The sequence below is a fragment of the Homo sapiens genome, chromosome 11 (assembly GCF_000001405.40).
Source record: "Homo sapiens chromosome 11, GRCh38.p14 Primary Assembly".
NCBI classification, from domain to species: domain Eukaryota; kingdom Metazoa; phylum Chordata; class Mammalia; order Primates; family Hominidae; genus Homo; species Homo sapiens.
In genome coordinates, this window is record NC_000011.10 from 30322719 (window position 1) to 30343759 (window position 21041).

General features: G+C 36.8%; 1 protein-coding gene and 1 long non-coding RNA gene across 12 annotated transcripts in view, besides 4 other annotated features; one reads left to right on the top strand and one right to left on the bottom strand.

Moving 5' to 3' along the window:
- Positions 1-228, bottom strand: part of ARL14EP-DT (ARL14EP divergent transcript) — a 279977-nt gene extending 279749 nt beyond the window's left edge. For 6 of the 10 annotated variants that reach the window (NR_187437.1, NR_187431.1, NR_187433.1 and 3 more), the window contains exon 1: positions 200-228. This is a non-coding gene — a long non-coding RNA (ARL14EP divergent transcript). Of the gene's footprint in view, positions 1-20 lie in introns of all 10 variants that reach the window. The other 4 variants (NR_187434.1, NR_187432.1, NR_187440.1 and 1 more) reach the window with 2 other exon arrangements.
- Positions 48-653: an enhancer, noted in NCBI's record as "H3K27ac hESC enhancer chr11:30344313-30344918 (GRCh37/hg19 assembly coordinates)". NCBI's record gives its function as "activates a minimal SCP1, AML or CMV promoter by ChIP-STARR-seq in naive H9 embryonic stem cells {active_cell/tissue: H9 hESC(naive)}" and the evidence as "EXISTENCE:reporter gene assay evidence [ECO:0000049][PMID:30033119]".
- Positions 166-415: an enhancer, noted in NCBI's record as "active region_4555". NCBI's record gives its function as "activates an Ori minimal core promoter by ATAC-STARR-seq in GM12878 lymphoblastoid cells {active_cell/tissue: GM12878}" and the evidence as "EXISTENCE:reporter gene assay evidence [ECO:0000049][PMID:35858748]".
- ARL14EP (ARF like GTPase 14 effector protein) lies at positions 386-15505 on the top strand. 2 transcript variants are annotated; one of them, NM_001441289.1, is made up of 5 exons: positions 386-484; positions 4288-4340; positions 8168-8656; positions 10148-10275; positions 13849-15505. In NM_001441289.1, the coding sequence occupies exons 3-5, from the start codon at positions 8231-8233 to the stop codon at positions 14075-14077; spliced, it is 783 nt and encodes a 260-aa protein (NP_001428218.1). In that variant the 5' UTR covers positions 386-484; positions 4288-4340; positions 8168-8230; the 3' UTR covers positions 14078-15505. The 2 variants fall into 2 exon arrangements, with proteins under 2 accessions (NP_001428218.1, NP_689529.1); NM_152316.3 differs by lacking the exon at positions 4288-4340.
- Positions 486-615: a silencer, noted in NCBI's record as "silent region_3215". NCBI's record gives its function as "represses an Ori minimal core promoter by ATAC-STARR-seq in GM12878 lymphoblastoid cells {active_cell/tissue: GM12878}" and the evidence as "EXISTENCE:reporter gene assay evidence [ECO:0000049][PMID:35858748]".
- Positions 20250-20299: a silencer, noted in NCBI's record as "silent region_3216". NCBI's record gives its function as "represses an Ori minimal core promoter by ATAC-STARR-seq in GM12878 lymphoblastoid cells {active_cell/tissue: GM12878}" and the evidence as "EXISTENCE:reporter gene assay evidence [ECO:0000049][PMID:35858748]".

Below are 21041 nucleotides of genomic sequence, written 5' to 3' on the forward strand. Positions count from 1 at the left end.
AAAGAAATAGAATGTGAGACCTTAAACAAAGGGTCCGTTCTTCAGATCCTTTTAACTCACACTCTCCTTCAGGGGTCGGGGTATTTGGGTGCAAAAGTTTACTATCACGCACAGGTGTAGAGATGTACAAATACGATCCAATTTAGTGGAAACTGTGTCTTGTAAGAGATGGCCCCCAGGGACCTCCCACATCCCTAACCTCTCGGAGGACTGCAAAAGACAGCATCTGAAGCACCTCTTGCCTCGCCTTGAATCATTTGCCACTTCACACCGCCCCGCCCCTTCCGTCCCCGGAGGCGGCCAGCCTCGTGTCCGCTCTAGGCTTCTCCCGGACGTCTCTTTGTGGTGGCGTTGAGCTCCTCTAGCCCGCGCTTGCCGTCCTCTCAGTGGTAGCGCGGGGACTGGCTGGGAAGCGGTCGGTCGAGTGTGGCCTGTGTGGACTCGCATCTTGCCCGAAGCCGGGCGGAGGAGAGCTCAAGCTAAGGTGGAAGGGGAACGGGGGAGGCCCTGGAGAGGAGTGGGAGAGTGGAGACAGGCCCCTGGGTGGCGAGGGAGCCCGGCGGCGTAACGGGGGAACCCGGGGAGAGGTGGAAGAGGAGGCCCGCACACGTGAGGGGGATTTCCAGCTGCTGGCCGGGGCCTCTCACCCCTACCCCCGCGTAGTTCATCTGCGACGCAACGCCTTGTGTCAAAGCCCAGCACAGGTTCTGCCGCCTCTGACCTCTCTGAGGGTCGTCGCCTGTCCTGTAGGCCCAGGACCTTCAAAGCTACGATTTTGACGTGAACTACTTAGGGTTATTGTGGCCTTGAACTCCGTAGACAGCCTTTATCTCTGCTATTTTTGTTTTTAATTTTTCAAATCAGAATCCTTTCAACCCTGGCCGTTTGAGGCCAAAGGCTAATGTTTATTTTTCCATCCCGGTACCATGAACTTAGTAGGTGCCCACTGGACGGATCTGGTGGTTTTAGTCATTTGTAAATAGCCGTGAACTAAGGAAGAAATGTATGTGGCCTCTTACAGGGTTGGGTTGGGAATCATTGCAGGGTTTGGGGGCACTCTGTTAGGCATGATAACAACAGCTCTAGGCTTGAGTTTCTTCATCTGTAAATGAGAATGATAGTACTTTCCTCAGGGTGGCTATGAAGGTTCCTGAAATGATGTTTGCCCTAAGCACTGTACCTGGCATGTCCTGACTACCACACTTGAACCAAATCTTTTCAATGGTGTTATGGACTATATTTTTGTTTTAAATTGCCTTTACCTTTCTTATTGTACCTAGATCTTCCTGAGGATTGAGACTCTCCTCTTTGCCTTTGGGCCAATTGTCATGTTATAGGTAATCAGTATTTGAAGATGACAGGCACAAAAAGTTCACAGTTGCAGGATGCGTGACTTTTGTAGGCGTATGTACCCATAACTAAAGCTCCTGATTTGGGGAGTAGGGGTAGATTAAATTATATTTTTATTAAATAAGAGATAATCTGGGAAGACGCTGTGTAAGTTGTAAGACCCTATGCCAAGAAAAGCCTTTAATTTTTTTCATAAAACATTTCATGAAAACTTTTTTTATGTTTTTCATAAAAGAGACATCAGTTGACCTAAAAACGAAGTAAATTTTTTGTTTTGTTAAATTTCCTCTAAATGTTACTTTTCCCACTAATAAGGAGACTGGTAACAAACTAAAAAACTATGTTAAGGGAAATTAACATATTGGAACGGGTATTTCTGCATCTCCCCTACAAATTTAGGAAGAAAAAGTGAGTTCCCTAATTAATCCTCAATTCCCTCTGCTGTTGTTTTGTTAGTGGCTGTTTTGCTGTTTTGTTAGTGGTGGGGGGGGTGTTCTGCATTAACACCCCGAAACCCCTGTGATAATGTCCTAGACCTTGCAAGCATCATGGCCGCGTGTGAGTTTTCTCAGCTTCCTCAACCTAATCTACCTTCCTTACCGTTTGGTAATGGGCAGCAAGAGAAAATGCTTAAGAACTCTTTAAAACTACTGATGTTTTAAAGTAAAGCTGGATAATTCCCTGAGCTGGCAGCGTTCAAATTGTATGAGGAGCAAATACTTTTGTTTACTGCCTAAGGTAGTAGGAGAGGTCTAATCAAAGTATTCTACATTTATTTCATTCTCTTTTGATTCTTAGGTAGTGCTACAAAAATATTAAATGTTAATCTTAGAATACAAAACATGCTGTATTTAGGCACTAAAGTAAAGTGATGTCAATCCTAAGGCAGCAGAAAGTCTTAATTTTCTCCTATGCAGAATTTTTAAAAGACAATGTCAGATAAGAAATCTGGACTTAGGAGAGACTTTATTCAAAAGGGTTATCACAAAAGGAGAAAAGGGACTTTTGCAATGGGTAGAACCAAAAGATCTGCAAGAATCTCCAAGGAGTGAACTGTGCTAGAAAGTTTTGGTGTGAGGAAGTAGGATATAAGGGTGGCTTGATCTAATAGTAGATCTGAGAATGTTATTCCTTGGCTCTGGCTGAGAGTTGGCCAAAGCTCAGGAACCTGGGGGAAGGAGAGAAACTAAAGTTTGATTAACAAGTATTTTGTTCCACTTGATCTGTAGGGCCAAGCAGATCAGCAAATTATTCATAAATTCATAGTTGAAGCAAAAAATGAGAATTTGGAGGGTCTTTCTTTTGCCTGGTCATAGGTAAACAAGGGGGGATCCTTGAGTCTTACCTAACTCAAGGGTGGGAGGATTTTTTAAATTATAGCTAATAAGGAGCCAGCACAGGGCTCAAGCAAAATTCAACTTGCCAAAAAGTGTTTTTATTATTTGACATTGAAAAGTATTGAAAACCTGGATTTTATTTATACCATGGTGAATCTTTCTAAAACTGGGGTTTTTGTTATTGGTTTGCTTGTTATCCTATAAGAAGCTGGATTTTTTTTCTTCCATGAAGAGTACTAGGTTTTATATTGACCAAAGTGTTTGGAGCAAATTAATCTTTTCTTGCGTTAAAAGATTATTAAAATAGGAACTGGTAAGATGCTATAACCAGTTTAAATGACAATTAAAAGTAGACATGTTTATAGAGCAGGAATATTGAAATAAATGTGCAAGTGAGGGCAAAATTGGCTGCTTCCACAGTCAGACGGAAGTCCATTGAACCTTCAGCAGATAGAATTTACAAGAATACAGACAATTATTTTGCATTGCTGTTGGTTATCTACAGTTGACAGTTGTAAAATAGCTCCAAGATGCTGAAAGAATCAGACTTCCCATGTAATCAGAATGTGAAAACCTGAAAGGCTGTGCTCTCAACAGTGCAGTTTTCTATTGAAGCAGATGTTTTTCTCTGTCCTTAGTGTATCGAATTTAAATCTCCTCTCCCTCAATAATCTTCCCTAGAGTTAGACTTCCTGTAAGGCAAATACATATCTGTGTTTTTCTTACTCTTTTTTGCTATCTTCTATAAAATATAGAAGATATCAAAACATTTTAAATTTAAATTTTTTAATTGAATTATCTGAAGCAGTACATAGCAAACTGTAATGTGCTTACAAATCACTTGGGTATCTTTTTGAAATGCAGATCCTGACTCATTGGGTCTGGAGCTGATACTGAGATTCTGTATTTCTACTGAGGTCTCAGCTGATGCCAGTGCTGATTCAGGGAGAGTAAACAGTAATGCATTTCCAACTATATTAAGGAAGGGGCCAGATAAATCATCGTTATGGAAGAACATAGCACTGTACTGTAGGTGAAAGGAACAATATGAACTTGCTGGACTGTCATTTGAAGAAAACAAAATATAAACTGTAGGCCACATTGCCAGAACACAGACCAAAATGAGCAAAAACAGTTGCTAGGAAACAGGCCCAAATGCAGAACTTTAGCTTATAGGAGGAAGTCAGAAAGAGCTGGAAATGAGAACATTGAGGAATATAACAGAGGAGGAACAACCAGAGGGTGTGATTTTTAGAATGCAAACAGTGACCACTTAGGATCAGTGTCTGAAATTTGGTGTTCCTTGAGCTAGCTGGACTTGGACTCTTTGACAGTATGTGAACAAACTGCCTAATCGTAGATCAGAAAGCTAACCTATGGAAGACTTTAAAACTACCTTGACTCAGGTGTGTGCAGTTTTACTCAGGTGTGTGCAGTTTTACTCAAGTGAGTGGGATTAGTTTGCCGCTGAATTTTAATCTGTGTAAAATTTAGTTTTTATCACAGTTGGCAATGTCTTCTATCAGATAGGATATTTTAATTTTAAAATGAGCTGATCCTGTAAAGAAGTAATTCGTTGTCTGAAATTCAAATCTAACAGGGCATCCTGCGTTTTTTATTTGCCAAGTCTGGTGACCCCATTTTCTGCATCCAGTAAGTAGAGATCTTTGGTGCTAGCTCAATGTGCTGCCTGTTACTAAGAAAAACTGAACTTCCTGTAAACAACTTACAGGACCCACCTACTCAGAAGGCTGAGGTGAGAAGATCACTTGAGGCCAGGAATTTCAGAAATAGGTATTCAACTTCACTGGCACAAGTTACAGAGTCTATTCCATTAGTTTCCTTTAATCATGATGAACTCTGTTGAATTTTGTAGTAATTTAGCCATGAATAAAGGAAACTAATGGAACAGAGACTCCCCAATAACTAAGGAAAAGAATTTTTTACCTAAAATTAAAATTAATAGAGTAAATGAAATTACCCTAAAGGGTAAAAATGTATTATTACTATGGACAGATAAGGTTTCTAAAGTAATTAGTTTCCTAAATCCAAGATGCTTTTCCTATCAAATATGACCATGGTAGCCCAAGTTTTGAATATTAGGAAATAGCTTTATGGCAAAAAAAGTTCCATTATAGATCTGTGGCTAAAAACTGGTGATGATTACCTCCAAATAAAAAGAATCTCTGGCATTAACAAAATACTAAGCATTATTTTCTGTACAGTGATGAGGGATAGTTGTCCTAGTTTCCCTTGTATTAAGAAAGGTCAGGCCAGGCACGGTGGCTCATGCCTGTAATCCCAGCACTTTGGGAGGCTGAGGCAGGCGGATCACGAGGTCAGGAGATCGAGACCATCCTGGCTAACATGGTGAAACGCCATCTCTACTAAAAATACAAAAAAAAAAAAAAAAAGCAAAATTTAGCCAGGCGTGGTGGCGGGCACCTGTAGTCCCAGCTACTCTGGAGGCTGAGGCAGGAGAATGGCGTTAACCCGGTAGGTGGAGCTTGCAGTGAGCCAAGATCTCGCCACTGCACTCTAGCCTGGGCGACAGAGCGAGACTCCGTCTCAAAAAATATATATAAAAAATAAGAAAGGTCAAAGCCAGATTGTGTCCCTTATTTGCTAATATACATTGCCACATAGTTCGTTGCCTTGTAACTTTACCTCTGATTTCCTTTTTCTCCTCCTTAATTTATCTTAATCCAATTATCTGTTTGAAGAAAAAAAAAATTTTTTTTATTTTTTTATTTTTTGAGATGAGAGTCTCGCTTTGTCGCCCGGGCTGGAGTCCAGTGACACGATCTCGGCTCACCGCAACTTCCGCCTCCTGGGTTCAAGCGATTCTCATGCCTCAACCTCCCATATAGCTGCACTACCACACCTGACTAATATTTTTGTATTTTTAGTAGACACGAGATTTCACTATGTTAGCCAGTCTAGTCTAGAACTCCTGGCATCAAGTGATCAACCCACATTGGCCTCCCAAAGTGCTGGGATTACAGGCAGGAGCCACAATGCCTGGCTAGAAGAAACTTTTCTAATTATTACTGTGATAGAAGCCATTTTATCTGATTTGATTGGGACCTGTATTAGTTCATTTTAAAAACTGACTAAAACACAGTAAATGAATATAAATATACTCTGTTTTTACCAGCTTTAAAACTTTTTTCAGTTAAAATGTTCAGTAACATATTTTAACACTTTAAAGTGTATTTTATTTTTTAACTTTGTAAATACAGTATTTTGACCTAAAACACAGACATTTATTCGCCATTTTTTGTTACCTGAGGCCAGAGTCTTCTTTTTATATGATTTTGCTGATTATTGTTTTTCTCTGCAGAAACCATATCAAAATGTGTTTAAGATTTCTCTCCAGTTTTTGTTTTTTTTTTAATTTTGCAAAGCTTAAAAACACTTGTAAAATTGCTGAATCCTAGACTTCACAGTCCCTCCCTACCACTCAGATTTCAGTGGTTCACATTTTTTCTCAACAGCAGATTTTTTCCTAATGAGTTGCATTGGTTGCATATTTTCTTGAGAATCCAACTTTTTTTTTTAATTTGCTTTGAAAATTATTTATGAAAAATTTCAAATAGAAAGTATGGACAGTAGTGAAGCACTTATGTACATGTCACCAAACCTTATTTTCTGTAAATCTTTTTGGGGAAAATAATGTTTTTTCCCCTCAGAAGTATCCACAAATGTGATATATGTTACTCTTATGTATATTTTAGTATATATTCATGTTTCATCTGTAAATCTTATGTACTATCTTATCTTTTTAAATTTTACCTTTAATGATGATACTATATAACCTTTACAACTTTTTTCACTTAAGATTGTCTTTGAGATTTATTCATGTTGATTCACGTAATTCATGTAGTTTATTCATTTTAACTGTTATGTGGGAGTCCCTTGTATGAGTAACGATTTCACATCCTTTACAATTAGGTTATTTGTCATCTTTCACTGCCAAAGGCAGTGAATGCTGAAAGTTTTCGTATATAACTTGTGCTCTTATTGGAGATATTTTTCTCCATCTGACACCCAGAACTGAAAAGAGCTGAGTCCCAAGGTGTATGCTTCCTCAGTTTTACAAGAAATTGCAGAAAATGTTCTAAAGCAGTTGCAGCAATTTACATTCCTACCAAAGTTATTATAAGGAGCATGTGAGAGTTGGACACATCTTAACCAGATATCAGATTTTTAAATTGATTTCAAGCAAATGTTTAATAAATGATATTTAATTTGCATTTTCCTAGGAACTATGGGGGAAACAGTTTGTATGCATGTATTGGCTTTTGTTCTCTTTCTCTGTGAATTGCCTGACTATATTTGTTTAGTTTTCCAGTGGACTCTGTCATTTTCTAATTGATTTTTGGAAGTGAGGAGTTACTCGAATATTTATGATAATAATCCTAACACCTTTCAAGTGTCTTTTTTTTTCTCCTTTAGTTATACAGAAATGTGTAAATTTTACATATAATCAAATATATCCATCTTTTTATTTATTTATTTTTTTGGTATCTGCTTGCTTGTTTGAAAAATTCTTCCATACTTCCATGTCAGAAAACCTTCTTTATTTTCTCATAAACATGTTTAGTTTTTCTTTTCATGTTTAAATCTTTAATCCACTTGTTATTGATTTTTGTTTGTGCAGAAGAGATCTAATTGTTTTTCCATATGGTTAAAGTCCCTTCTTCATTAGTGTGTGATACCCATCGATTAATAGTACCACATGTCATATACTGAGCCCTCATCTACTCATGGATCTGTTTGTTTATACTATACCAATACCATAGTTTTAATTAGAATAGGTTTAAAGTAAATCAATATGTTACTGTATTTTCCTTCAGGATTACCTTGGCTTTCTTAGACCTTTGCTCTTTCATATAGACCAGCTTGCTAAATTCCAAGGGGGTGGCAGTAGAATATCTGATGGAACTTTGATTGTAACAGAACTGAATTTACAGATGTATTCCCAGATAATTGACATATTTTTTATAATGAGCCACTCCATGATATATAGCTGCATTTATTTAGGGTACCGTTTTTGTCTTGCAGTTTGATAATTTTCTCCATGAAGGTCTTGTTGTATGTCTTTTGTAAGAGTCACATATTTTGTAAGATACAGTGTTTTTTGGTTTCTAGCATCCCTGGTGAATTCTCTTATTAGTTCTAATAGTTTGTTAAACCTCTTGTATTTCTCATGTATCTTAGGATAATATTTCTTATTTCCTCCTTTTTAATTCTTATGTGGTCTTAAATATAATCTGTAATTGCAGATGTTTTCGTGAAGTTCTGACTTTACAGGGAACGCTTCTGTTTGATTATTAAATGTCTATTATAAGACTTCGATAAATACCTTTTTTATTCCTTATTTTCTTTTAGATAGGTGTTGAATTTTATCAAATGCTTTTTCAGTTTCCTAGATAAACTTGCAGCACAAATTTGATTCTCTTTAATATTTTCTCTAGGGTGATCAGCCCATGACCTAAACCTCCAGACAAAATAAAACGGAAAATTTGCTAGAATCAAGAATGATGGATCCATGTTCAGTTGGAGTCCAGCTTCGTACTACAAATGAGTGCCATAAAACCTACTATACTCGTCACACAGGTTTTAAGACTTTGCAAGAATTGTCATCAAATGATATGCTTTTACTTCAACTTAGAACTGGAATGACACTTTCTGGGAACAATACAATTTGCTTTCATCATGTAAAAATTTACATTGACAGATTTGAGGATTTACAGAAGTCATGTTGTGACCCATTTAACATACACAAGAAATTAGCCAAAAAAAATTTGCATGTAATTGACTTAGATGATGCCACTTTTCTGAGTGCTAAATTTGGAAGACAGCTTGTACCTGGTTGGAAGCTTTGTCCAAAATGCACACAGATAATCAATGGAAGTGTGGATGTTGATACTGAAGACCGCCAGAAAAGGAAACCTGAGTCAGATGTATGTGTAATAGTCATTTTTTTCTACATTGTGAATTCTACCATGTAGGATTTTGCTTAACTATAAGAAAATCATATTTACATTATTACTAAATTTGTTAGCATACAGTGAATTAAAAGGAGGGGTGAAAGTGGATGATGTTTCTAAATATTATTCACATATACTGAAGGTCAAGATTGGGGGATAAAGAAAGTAGGCCTGGGAAAGTAATAATAAAATATGCCTAAGACTCCAAGCTACAACTTTTAGTGCGAAGACTTTAGGAGTGGGTTTTAGAATATTCTGGCCAAGCCAGGATTTAGTTTCTTTTCTGATACCAAAGTAACTACACGGGACATGGCAACCACCAAGGGTCTTTGCAGCAGGATGACTTCGCCTTTATATGAAGGACTTGGAAATCACTGCTTTAAAAGGAACATTAGAGAGGTGACTTACAGTAATTGTTTTTTATTTCACTCTTTTTTTCTCCTTTGACACTGTCTCGTTCTTGAGTTTTTTAAATGCTTGTGAATTTTCTTTGCTTCTAGTTCTGAATTCCTACTTGATATGGTCAAGGCTAATTTTAGGACTCCTTGAGGTAAAAAAAAAATAATACATTTTTACATTGTAAAGTATTAAATATTTTACCTCTATTCCTATTGACATGCCTACATGCATATTTAACCATATCAGAACAACTTAAGTTTTCATAAAGCTATCTTTTGTGTAGGACAAGTATATCAAAGAAGCACATCTCAGAATTTTTACTTGTAATTATTTCATAATTCTTACTGCTGGAATATTTTTCTCAGTTTTCTCCTTTTTATTAAACCAAGTTAAAAGATAGTTGAAATTTGAAATTATACTATTTTCCTGTTGTTGTCTTCTCAGAGGAACATCTTGAGGGCCCAGTTTATCTGTAGTTCATACTAGATACTTGCTGATAGTGTCATTGTAGATGTCTTCACCTTATCTATCCAATGTTCTTGTAGAATATATCAGCTGCAGCTCTTTCCTCCCCAAATAACAAACATAAACCCTTAAACACCGAAATTTTGTTTCACCAAAACTTTTCAAAAAGATTATAATACTATTCTAGAACTTGAAATCATATTCTCTGCTCTTAAAAATATATAAAATACAATAATAAGGACCCAGGATTGTTAGGAAATCAGTTATGTGCCACTGGATTATATAGCAGTTTTTGTGCCTTCTCTCCTGTGTTGGCAGCAGCCATTGCAGTTTTCACAATGCCTTCCTCCTCTGCTCCTAATATACCAGAGACTAAAATAAAATAATGGAAATGTTACTAATACATTAACCAATATGCTTTGAATATGGTCTAGGGCCATGTAAATTTTCTTGCACTTAGGCTCTAAAACCTTGTTTTCTTTTTTGTGTGTTCCAGACTGTCTTCCATGTTAGGGAATCGTCTGGTTTAACATTAAATAAAATGTTAATCTGTTGTCTGTTGTCAAGATTTGAGTTGATAATTTGTTTACCTTTCTTCAGGGAAGAACTGCTAAAGCTTTGAGGTCATTACAATTTACGAATCCAGGAAGGCAAACTGAATTTGCTCCAGAAACTGGTAAAAGAGAAAAAAGAAGGCTTACAAAAAATGCAACCGCTGGTTCAGACAGGTAGGCTAAGTGTTACTGAAGACATGTTAACTTGCTGCTTCACATCTGCATTGTTCCCCTATTTTTCTCTTAAATTTTGAATTTTCTGGGTTCATATTTTAAATTGGATAATGTAGAATTAGTAAAAACCTATGAAGGCCTTTGTTTTTATTCATATAAAATTAAGGTATCCCTTTCAACTACAAAAATTTGTTTCTAAGAAGGTAGCAGTGAACTGAAGAAATAATTTTGGCATGAGAGTTAAAATAATTACAATTAAAGTAATTCACTTATTTGAAAAGCATTGTTATTATATATATACGGACATACCTCATTTTATTGGTGCTTCACTTTATTCTTTACAAGGTGCTATTTATTTTTACAAATTGAAAATTTGTGGCAACTCGGTGGTAAGCAAGTCTATTGGTGTCATTTTTCTAACAGCATGTACTCCCTATCTCTGTCGCATTTTGGTAATTATTGCAATATTTCCAGCTTTTTCATTACTGTATCTGTTATGATGATCTTTGATGTTACTATTATAATTATTTTGAGTCACTAGGAACCACACTAATGCAAGGTGGTGAACTTAGTCGATAAATGCTGTGGGTGTTCTTACTGCTCCACCTACTGGCTGTTCTCTAGACTCTCTCCCTCTCCTCAGGTGTCCCTATTCCCTGAGAAACAAATATATTGAAATTGGTCCAACTAATAACCCTGCAATGGTCTCTAAGTGTTCAAGTGAAAGGAAGAGTCAAGTTTCTCATTTTACAAAAAAAGCTAGAAATGATTAAGCTTGGGAGTAAGGCACGTCAAAAGCTGAGACAGGCCAAAAGCTGGGCCTCTTGTGCTAAACAGCCAAGTTGTGAATGCAAAGAAAAAGTTCAGGAAGGACATTAAAAGTACCATTCCATTGAACACAAATGATAAGAAAGCAAAACAGCCTTATTGCTAATATGGAGAAACTTTAAATGGTCTGGATAGAAGATCAAACCAGCTACAACACATTCCCTTAAGCAAAAGCCTAATCCAAAGCAAGGTTCTAACCCTCTTCAATTCTCTGAAGGATGAGAGAAGTGAGGAAGCTTCAGAAGAAAAGTTTGAAGCTAGCAGAGGTTGGTTTATGAGGGTAAGGAAAGAAGCCATCTCCATAACATAAAAGTGCAAGGTGAAGCAGCAAGTTATTAATGAAGGTAGCTACACTACCCAACAGATTTTCAATGTAGACCAGCCTTCTTTTTTTTTTTTTTTTTTTTTTTTTGAGATGGAGTCTTGCTCTGTCACCCAGCCTGAGGTGCAGTGGCGCAAACTCAGCTCACTACACCCGCCACCTGCTGCGTTCAAGCGATTCTTCTGCCTCAACCTCTTGGGTAGCTGGGACTACAGGCACGTGCCACCACAGCCAGCTAATTTTTTGTATTTTTAGTAGAGACGGGTTTCACCATGTTAGCCAGGATGGTCTCGATCTCCTGCCCTCGTGATCTGCCCACCTTGGCCTCCCAAAGTGCTGGGATTACAGGTGTGAGCCACCACGCCCAGCCAACAAACAGCCTTCTAATGGAAGAAGATGCCGTCTTTCATAGCTAGAGAGGGGAAGTCTATACCTGGCTTCAAATCTTCAAAGGACAGGCCGTTTCTCTTGGTAGGGACGAATGCAGCTGGTGACTTTTAAGTTGAAGCCAATTATTTACCTCTTCGAAATCCTAGGGTCCTAATGATGCTAAATGTACTCTACCTGTCCTGTATAAATGGGACAAAGCCTGAATGGCAGCATATCTGTTTACAGCATTGTTCATTGAATATTTTAAGCCCACTTGAGAGACCTCCTGCCTAGATAAAAGGATTCCTTTCAAAATATTGCTACTCATTGACAATGTACCTGATCACTCAGGAGCTCTGATAGAGATGTCCCAGGAGATAAATGTTTCATGCCTCCTAACACAACATTCATTCTGTAGCCCACGGATCAAGGAGTACTTTGACTTTCAAGTCTGTTATTTAAGAAATACGTTTTGTGAGGCCAGAGCTGCCATAGACAGTGAGTGATTCCTCTGATGGATTTGGGCAAAGTAAATTGAACACCTTCTGGAAAGGATTCACCATTCCAAGAGTTTGGAAGAAGATTCGAGTCCTCATGGATGACTTTGAGGGGTTCAGGACTTCAGTGGAGGAAGTAGTTGCAGACGTGGTGGAAATAGCAAGAGAACTAGAATTAGAAGCAGAGCCTGGAGATGTGACTGAGTTATTGCAATCTTGTGATAAAACTTGAATGGATAAGGAGTTTCTTCTTAGAGATGAGCAAAGAATGTGATTTATTAAGGTGGAATCTACTGGTGAGGATGCTGTTAACATTACTGAAATGACAAAGGACTTAGATTATATAAACTTAGTAGATAAAGCAGAGGCAGAATTTGAGAGGATGACTCCAATTTTGAACATTCTACTGTAGGTAAAATGCTATCAAACACCATCACATGCTACAGAGAAATCTTTTGTAAGAAGAGTCCACTGATGCAGCAAACTTCACTGTAGTCTTTAAGAAATTGCCACAGCTACCCTAGCCTTCAGCAACGACCTCCCTGATCAGTCAGCTGTCCTCACTGGGGCAAGATCCTCCACCAGCAAAAAAACTACAACTCATTGAAGTTTCAGATCATTGTTAGCATTTTTTAGCAATAGAGCATTTTTAAATTAAGGTACATACATTTTTTTCTTAGACATAAGGCTGTTGCACACTTAATAGGCTATAGTGTAAGCTTAACTTTTATATGCACTGGAAAAGCAAAAAAATATATATATATATATGTGTGTGTGTGTGTGTGTGTGTGACTCACTTTATTGGGGGTGGTCTGGAACCAAACCCACAATACCTCCGAAATGTGCCTGTAATTCATATATCTCCGTTCTATGGGTAGCAGCTAAAAGGTAATTACATTTTATGAGAATGCAAGGTTTTTATTTTTTACATGTCTGAAATAGAAATGCAGTTCTGTATAGTCAACATAATGAATGGGAGAACTAAATTGTTTAGAATATGACTCTAAAACAAATGTTAATATAATCATTCAGAATTTTTTTTCTAAGTTCAGTCAACATTTCTATATATGCCATGTATTCCATCTGTTAAAATTTACCATTGAGTCATTTAAATATTTTTAGGCCAAATTTACTAGAGTCCATTAAAGAACAAGAAACATTAATTGTAGTATAAAAATCTATAGAGGTGGTATACTATAATAAAAATAAAACTGTGTTGATAAAACAGTGAAGAGGTTGGTAGCTAATAAAGTGAACCACTATTAACCTGTCATTCTTTTTTGTTTGTTTAAAGTAAAGGGAAAATTATGCACTTCAAGAAGCGTATTCAGAATTTTTAGATTTGTCTCAACACTCTATAGAGTTAGGTCTCCTCTTCTCACATGGAGTTCATTTACTGCTGACGATAGAATAAGCCTTGAGCCTGATAAATTATAGATGATTTTGGCATGACCTCATCTAAAAATATTTTATCTCCTTTTTTTTTTTTACTGTATTTTCAATTAAATCAAAAATAACATATTTATGAGGTATAATTCATTGTGTTTTATTTTACAGACAAGTGATACCAGCAAAGAGTAAGGTCTATGATAGCCAGGGTCTCCTGATTTTTAGTGGGATGGACCTCTGTGACTGCCTGGATGAAGACTGCTTAGGATGTTTCTATGCTTGTCCTGCCTGTGGTTCTACCAAGTGTGGAGCTGAATGCCGCTGTGACCGCAAGTGGCTGTATGAGCAAATTGAAATTGAAGGAGGAGAAATAATTCATAATAAACATGCTGGATAATCTGCGGTACCAAACTATGGAGCCTTTAAAGGTCTTTATTTCTAAAAATCTGTTACTCTAAGATACATTTTAAGCTTGATTATCATATGACAAAGATTTTAAAACCATCTCAGTGTGCCCTAATTTTTCATCTTGGGTGCTTTAAGATTCACTATTTGATATAAATTCAGATAGGCTATTTTTCAGTAGTCAGCGTTAAGCCTGTCTGGATCAATATAAACAAGTAGGGTGTAGGCAGTCCTCTATTTGCATGTTTCCCATGGGCACAAATTTCAGTGACCTAGATTTAGTTTAAATACCAGTTTCCTTACCAGGAAGGAAAGAAAACTGGTAAGGAAACTGTTGTTGTTAAAATCTAGGTTAAAATTTTAGTTAGCACATTGTAACTGAGTAATTACATGAAGTACAAACCTCTCTGCTAGCTCTTCAGTCTACAAATCGCTATGTAAATAACAGATATGCTTCATGATTGTGACCAGTCATGTTATTTCTTTCAAATTCTTCCAGTGGTTTGTCCCTGTGCATCTGTTAATTCAGTTCACGTACAGCAGAGCATGTAGTTATGCTGTCTCTCTGTCATCTACTTGACATTCTATAGAAGTGAACACTCGAAAGAACTGGTCAACAAAGATGAAAGTGCAGCAAAGCAATGAAAAATGATAACACTGGAAGTGAAATTTTAATCAAACATAAATGAATTTGTAGAAGAAGTCACTGACCATGGGAATGTTGTTCTTGCTGCTGTGTATTCATAGGAGCTTAGTGAAGGCAAACTTACCAACACAAATAAGCAAAGTGGTTGCAATAAAGACAGATACGTCCCAGAGGAAGTGATGGTTAAAAAAAAAAAACTTTACATTAAAAGATATTTAATGTGAATATAGAAATATTTCACAACATTGAAAGCACAAGCAATAAAAGGGTGGAAGCTGACCCAAACTTAGAAGGAGTATGGCAGTTTGCCGTGAACATAAAAGATGCTTACTCAGTATGGTAAGTTACTTGCCAGAAAAAAAGGCAAGCCCTATTCAAACTACTTTGTTTTTACAATGAAATAAAACACTTTAATTCTATTTCTAATGTTTTAAATTACAGTGTACTAAATATTTTTAAACATTTTTGCATTTTTTTCTACATTTATAACTGGTCTTAAGAGTTTTTAATATTTGAGCAGAACCTTAAAGGTCATGGAACAATCATCATTTTCCCTATTGATTATTAAGATTGCAGGACCATTTTTATGGTCCCACAGTACCATGTGAAATGAGGATCGCTTGTAGCTGGGAACAGTGCTTACTTCAGGGAAAACTGATTTTGATAGAACCGACTAGTTGAGTATTAAACTGTTTTGGAAATAATTTATATATCTAAGTGCTGAAATATATTTCTCTTCTCCCCACTTATTCAAATAAAAAAGTTTTAATACTATAAACTTTTCATTGTTAGCGCCACGCAGTCCTTGTCAAGATTGTTCTGGGGGACAAAAACTTGATGTATAAAGCATGAATATACACACAGTACTTAAACAGATACCATATCTGTGGTATTAAAATTTTGGGGGTGGTTGATTAGGATTGTAAAAAGACTCCTTAGGGAGTGAGGATGGAAAAGAGAAACACTGGTTAATACAGAGTATAAATAAATTTTTTGGAAATTGATTGCATCTTGATGTTGGAATTTGCTTGGATGCTATTTGGAGGATGGGGGAATGGTATCGTCTCTTTGCTTTTATTTTATTTTTTTTTGAGACAGTCTTACTCTGTTGCCCAGGCTAGAGTGCAGTGGCTCAATCTCGGCTCGCTGCAATCTCCATCTCCTGGGTTCAAGTGATTCTCCTGCTTCAGCCTCCTGAGTAGCGGGGACTGCAGGCGCGTGCCACCACGCCCAGCTTATTTTTTTGTATTTTTAGTAGAGACGGGGTTTCACCATATTAGCCAGGATGGTCTTGATCTCCTGACCTCATGATCTGCCCTCCTTGGTCTTTGCACTTTTTTAAAGACAGCTGTCATTTTGTCTAAAAGCTTTTTGTCACATGGGACATTGCCACTAATCTGGGTTTTGGGGGGTTTTTTGCATCCTAAATACAGTCCTTCAGTTAAATCAAATGTGCTCTTAGCAATTTGAAAGATTTTGTAGCCATTAAAACTCAATTTATGCAGCCAGTTTGAATTGACCATTAGAGGGTTTGTTTGTTTTTTAATTTTTTTGCTTTTAAAATGACTGGTTTTACTTTGAGGGAATGGCATATTCAGCCTTGGAATTACATATTTTTAATAATTTTAACTGTTCACTCACCTGTTACCAGAAGTACATACAGTTAGCTTGTCAGTTCCTTGATCTGTATGATTTACCTGAACACTGGCAAAAGAATATTTCAGCTTTATTCACTTAAGTCAGATGCTAGATTACTTTCTCTAAAGTAAGGAAATACTTCATTATTGAGGACATAAACACTCCAGTTTTATCTGAACATTAGGATCATTAGATCTTAATTGTTTCTACCATCTTTTAGTTTTTCTAAGTATGACAGTGCTTAGGCTTTTCGTAGGGACAAATTAAAATCAGGTTTTTTACTTAAAATAGGAATATTTTTGATGGAATGAATGACTTTAAAATTGCCATATTGCAGCATTTTTTAGAACAGACCTGTAATTTTTCAAAGACTAATACGTTTTTCAAAGGAAAATATTCTTGAGCAATTTTGCTAATATTTGTTCATCATGCCCATTTAGGGAAGCAAACTTTTAATGAGCATACAAAATGTTTACAGAGAAAGGTGTATCTGATTTACAGTAAGCTGTAATAAAGCTATGTTTTGGAAAAATTAAATAATGAGCCCACTTACTATTTTGTAATATAAAATTACAGAAATATGGAATATAATGAAATCATCTAGAGCCTCTTTATATTGTGCATAAATATTCCAGGTGACTATAAATTATTTTAGAATTAATCTAAAAAGCAAAGTTTTATAAACAATTTCTGTTGTGTGTAGATCCTAGTAGAGAAGTTAGGTCACAAATGTTGGTCTCACACAATGTTGGTCACAAATATTAAGGTAGAAATGCATGTATATATTTGAATAAAATGTCATCTCGTGATCTTTTCCTTTTTTTTAAAATATGGAAATAGCTATTTACCTTGTAACATCATATATAGGATTCTTCTCTTTTTAAAGTATTATGTTTAGTTCTATATAACAGGCTGTTATACAACCTGACAGTCTACTCTAAAACTGCCTCCCTGGCGTGATTTCAAGCAAGTAATTTTTAGCAAGTGAATTTTGAAATATCCATATATATATATACAGTGATTCATTATTAAAAACATAATTTTAGTGAGTTCTATTATAGTCTTAACTTTTTGGAAGTAAAAGACCCCTGTGAGAAGGTGATGAAAGCTATGAACTAACTTCCCAGAAAAATATCTGCATTCATGTACTCACAAATATCGATGTTCAGAATTCCTGAACATGTATTGCAGTACCTGGGTAGTATGAAATATTCTGTAAACCATTTTACTTTTTCAGTTGAGTATGGCTAAAGTGTCGGTTGGTTTGTTAAATAGTGTTGTGGGTGGCTGTTTTCAAGAAAAACAAAACCAGAACAGCTCAGTCCTTGAGCTATGACTGCCCTGAAAAATCAGATCCCACTGGCCTCATATACCCCTTCCACCTCCAAAAGGTGATTACACATTGAGTCACAATGTAGAAAACTGATGTCTTATCTGGACTGGATTTTGGTAGAGGTTTTCTACCTCCATGATGTTTGCCCTGCTTATAGCTTAACATTCTTGTGCAAAATTCAGGACACTGCCTTAGTTTTGCTGACATCTGGTATCTTCATGAAAAAAACTGCTCTCAGCTATTACTACTTTCCTTTAATCTCTTAACTTATAAATTTAACTGTGAACATGTAATTATATAATAACCTGCTGAAGTGGATGTTTTTCAAAATCAAATGGTTTCTCTATCATTCTTAGGTCTTGCCCAGCAGCAGTCAACCATATTGGGTGTTAATTTTCAAGAATGTGAGTGAGGATACAGAAATACACACAGGCAATTCTGAGTCTCTTTTCACTTATTTTTATAAAGTGGAGGTACTTGGGAAGTAATGCTCTTATCTATTTTTTTTAAATCATGAAACACAACTGAATACTTAGTTCGAAAGGTAATAGACCTCTGCAAAGTATATGTCCCAATGTGTATTTTTAATGGTATAGTTGTGAGGATTTACTAATCTTATTAAGATAATTTAACTTTTAGAAAAATACAGGAAATTTACTAGATAAAGCAGATTATTGGGATAGCAATAAAACACCTTCAAATACAAAAGGTATTTAAATTTGGAAGTATTACAGTTCTGTGAAATGCCACAACTAAAATGTGTTTTTTCCTCCTCGAAACTACAAGGGAGTGATTTCTTGGTTAAACATCCAGTGATTAGAAACTGCATTTCATGTCATTACAAGCAAACAAACGTTTTATTTTTTAAAGAGTTGCTGGCCAGGCATTGTGGCCCACACCTGTAATCCCAGCACTTTGGGAGGCTGAGGCGGGCAGATCATGAGGTCAGGAGTTCGAGACCAGCCTGGCCAACATAGTGAAACCCCCGTCTCTACTAAAAATGCAAAAATTAGCTGGGCATGGTGGGGCACACCTGTAGTCCCAGCTACTCGGGAGGCTGAGGCATGAGAATAGCTTGAACCCGAGGGGCGGATGTTGTGGTGAGCCGAGATCGCACCACCACACTCCATCCTGGACGCAGAGCAAGACTCTTACCTTAAAAAAAAAAAAAAAAAAAAAAAATGTTACCATAATCTACCTATCCTATCTTAGGTTTTGAAGCCTAAGATACGTTTTATAATAAATAGACTTATTAAAACTAATGTTTGCAAACATTGCTAAACTTAACAAATTGGCTAAGTTTCCCTTTGTTAACAAGCAATCAGTTACGCTGAAGAATTTGAAAAATGCAAATTAAATTGTTTTTTGTTATATTCTGACACCCCAAATTTATTATTTGGTCTTGAAGGTAATTGAAAATTAAATTGGTTATTTTGTCACATAAGATAAAGTAACCAATAGTAGCAGTACTGGTACCATGTAAATGGAGACTACAAGATTCTGGATAAAATACAAATTGAATTTTGGCATTAAGAGAGGTATTCAGGATTGCTTAGTGAATTGTGGTATATTGAGGTTTTTTAAAAATGCTAGCAAGCATCTAGCCATTTATGACTTAGTGAATGAGACTATGCAATGAAAATTTCTGCATAAAATACAGGCCCTACAGTTTGGTGTATGAAAATAAATTTATTATTCCAAAATAGCTCCTGACCTCTCTAAATTGGATGATAGACTTTCCTATAGAAAATGTTGAAAAAGAAACATTTTCTAATTTTTTCAGTAAAAGTTTCCATCTCATCCCCAAAAGCTGTAATTGAAAAAACATGCTTATTTTTTTCCTTGTGTCTTTTAAAGAACTACACATAGATTTTAGGGTCAGTGCTCAACTACAAATTCTTGGCAAACAAAGCCTCACACTGTGTGACATACCGACAACCCATGTTGAGAGGCTCCTTACACCTCTTGATGGGTGGGTGGATGGATGGATGGATGGATGGATGGATGGGTGGATGGGTGGATGGGTGTATGGGTGGATGGATGGATAGATCAATATATCAATTGACAGGCAGGCAGGCAGACACATCCAGTTGGTTCCCTTTCTCTGGAAAACCCTGACTAATACAGTAACCTAATTTGTTTCTATTTCAACTTGGTTCTCAGGTCCTGGCTCTAAAAATCAAATAAATTATAAACTATTAGATTGTTTGCTGTATCTGGCCTTAGATGAGTCAATAAAATATATAGTCAGTCATTTTTTACTCCTTTCTCTTGTTCATATTATCAAGTCCATTTGGTCACTGCTTGGAAAATTCTTGAATCTGCTTTGGGTTTTTGTTTTTATTTTTGTTTCCACGTCAGTTAAAGTCTGGTAGTGTTTTGCATGCCCAGTATCACTTCCCCTTCTGGAATTAGCACTCTGCAGTTGGCCTTTGAGAAACCACCCTTGTAGTCAGCCCATGTGGTTCAGATACAGTTGGCCTTACTTTGTGGTTGTAGGGTGGGTTTATCACAAGTCCTGGCCTTTGAGAATGTAGCATCTCACTAGCCTTAATGAATGTTAGAAGGGTGGATGTATGACTAGCCAGGTCAATCAAAGCCAATCAACTTCAGGCTTACTGAGACTAGAGAAGAAGTGATGCTTTTTTTCAATGAGGGTTGCTAAGTTTACAGGTTTAAGACCAGGCCTACTGGTGGCTAATCTTGGCACTAAGTGAGAATCTGCCTTAGAATGTAAACAACATACGTGAAAGTGGAAGCCAGAGACCAAGATAGATAGAATTTGGGTATCTCGATCCAGTTATGTCTGAAGTCAAACCTGGAATTTTCAGTTATGTGAGTCAATAATTTTGTCTTTTTGCACGATTGACCATTAAGTGAATACAAGGTAATGACTAGATGGAAAGTTAGCTCTACTCATTTGAGGATAAAAGATCAAGGGTAGAATGGCCTGTTTGAAACTCATGCCCTTGGGAACTTTTATCTTCTTTTTTTTTTTTTTTTTTTTTTTTTGAGACAGTCTCGCTCTGTCGCCCAGGCTGGAGTGCAGTGGTGCGATCTCGGCTCACTGCAAGCTCCGCCTCCCGGGTTCACACCATTCTCCTGCCTCAGCCTCCCAAGTAGCTGGGACTACAGGCGCCCAGCACCACGCCCGGCTAATTTTTGTATTTTTAGTAGAGACAGGGTTTCACCGTGTTAACCAGGATGATCTCGATCTCCTGACCTTGTGATCTGCCCACCTCAGCCTCCCATAGTGCTGGGATTATAGGCGTGAGCCACTGCACCCGGCCAGGAACTTTTATATCTTTTAAGGAGAGCAAACAGCTGTGACTTACCCCC

Bases quoted from the DNA above. Each gene is read 5' to 3' on its own strand.
- ARL14EP (NM_001441289.1), top strand. From the start codon at position 8,231: ATGATGGATCCATGTTCAGTTGGAGTCCAGCTTCGTACTACAAATGAG. The intron at 8,657-10,147 runs GTATGTGTAATA...ACCTTTCTTCAG, and splicing joins AAAGGAAACCTGAGTCAGAT to GGAAGAACTGCTAAAGCTTT. The intron at 10,276-13,848 runs GTAGGCTAAGTG...TTTATTTTACAG, and splicing joins GCAACCGCTGGTTCAGACAG to ACAAGTGATACCAGCAAAGA.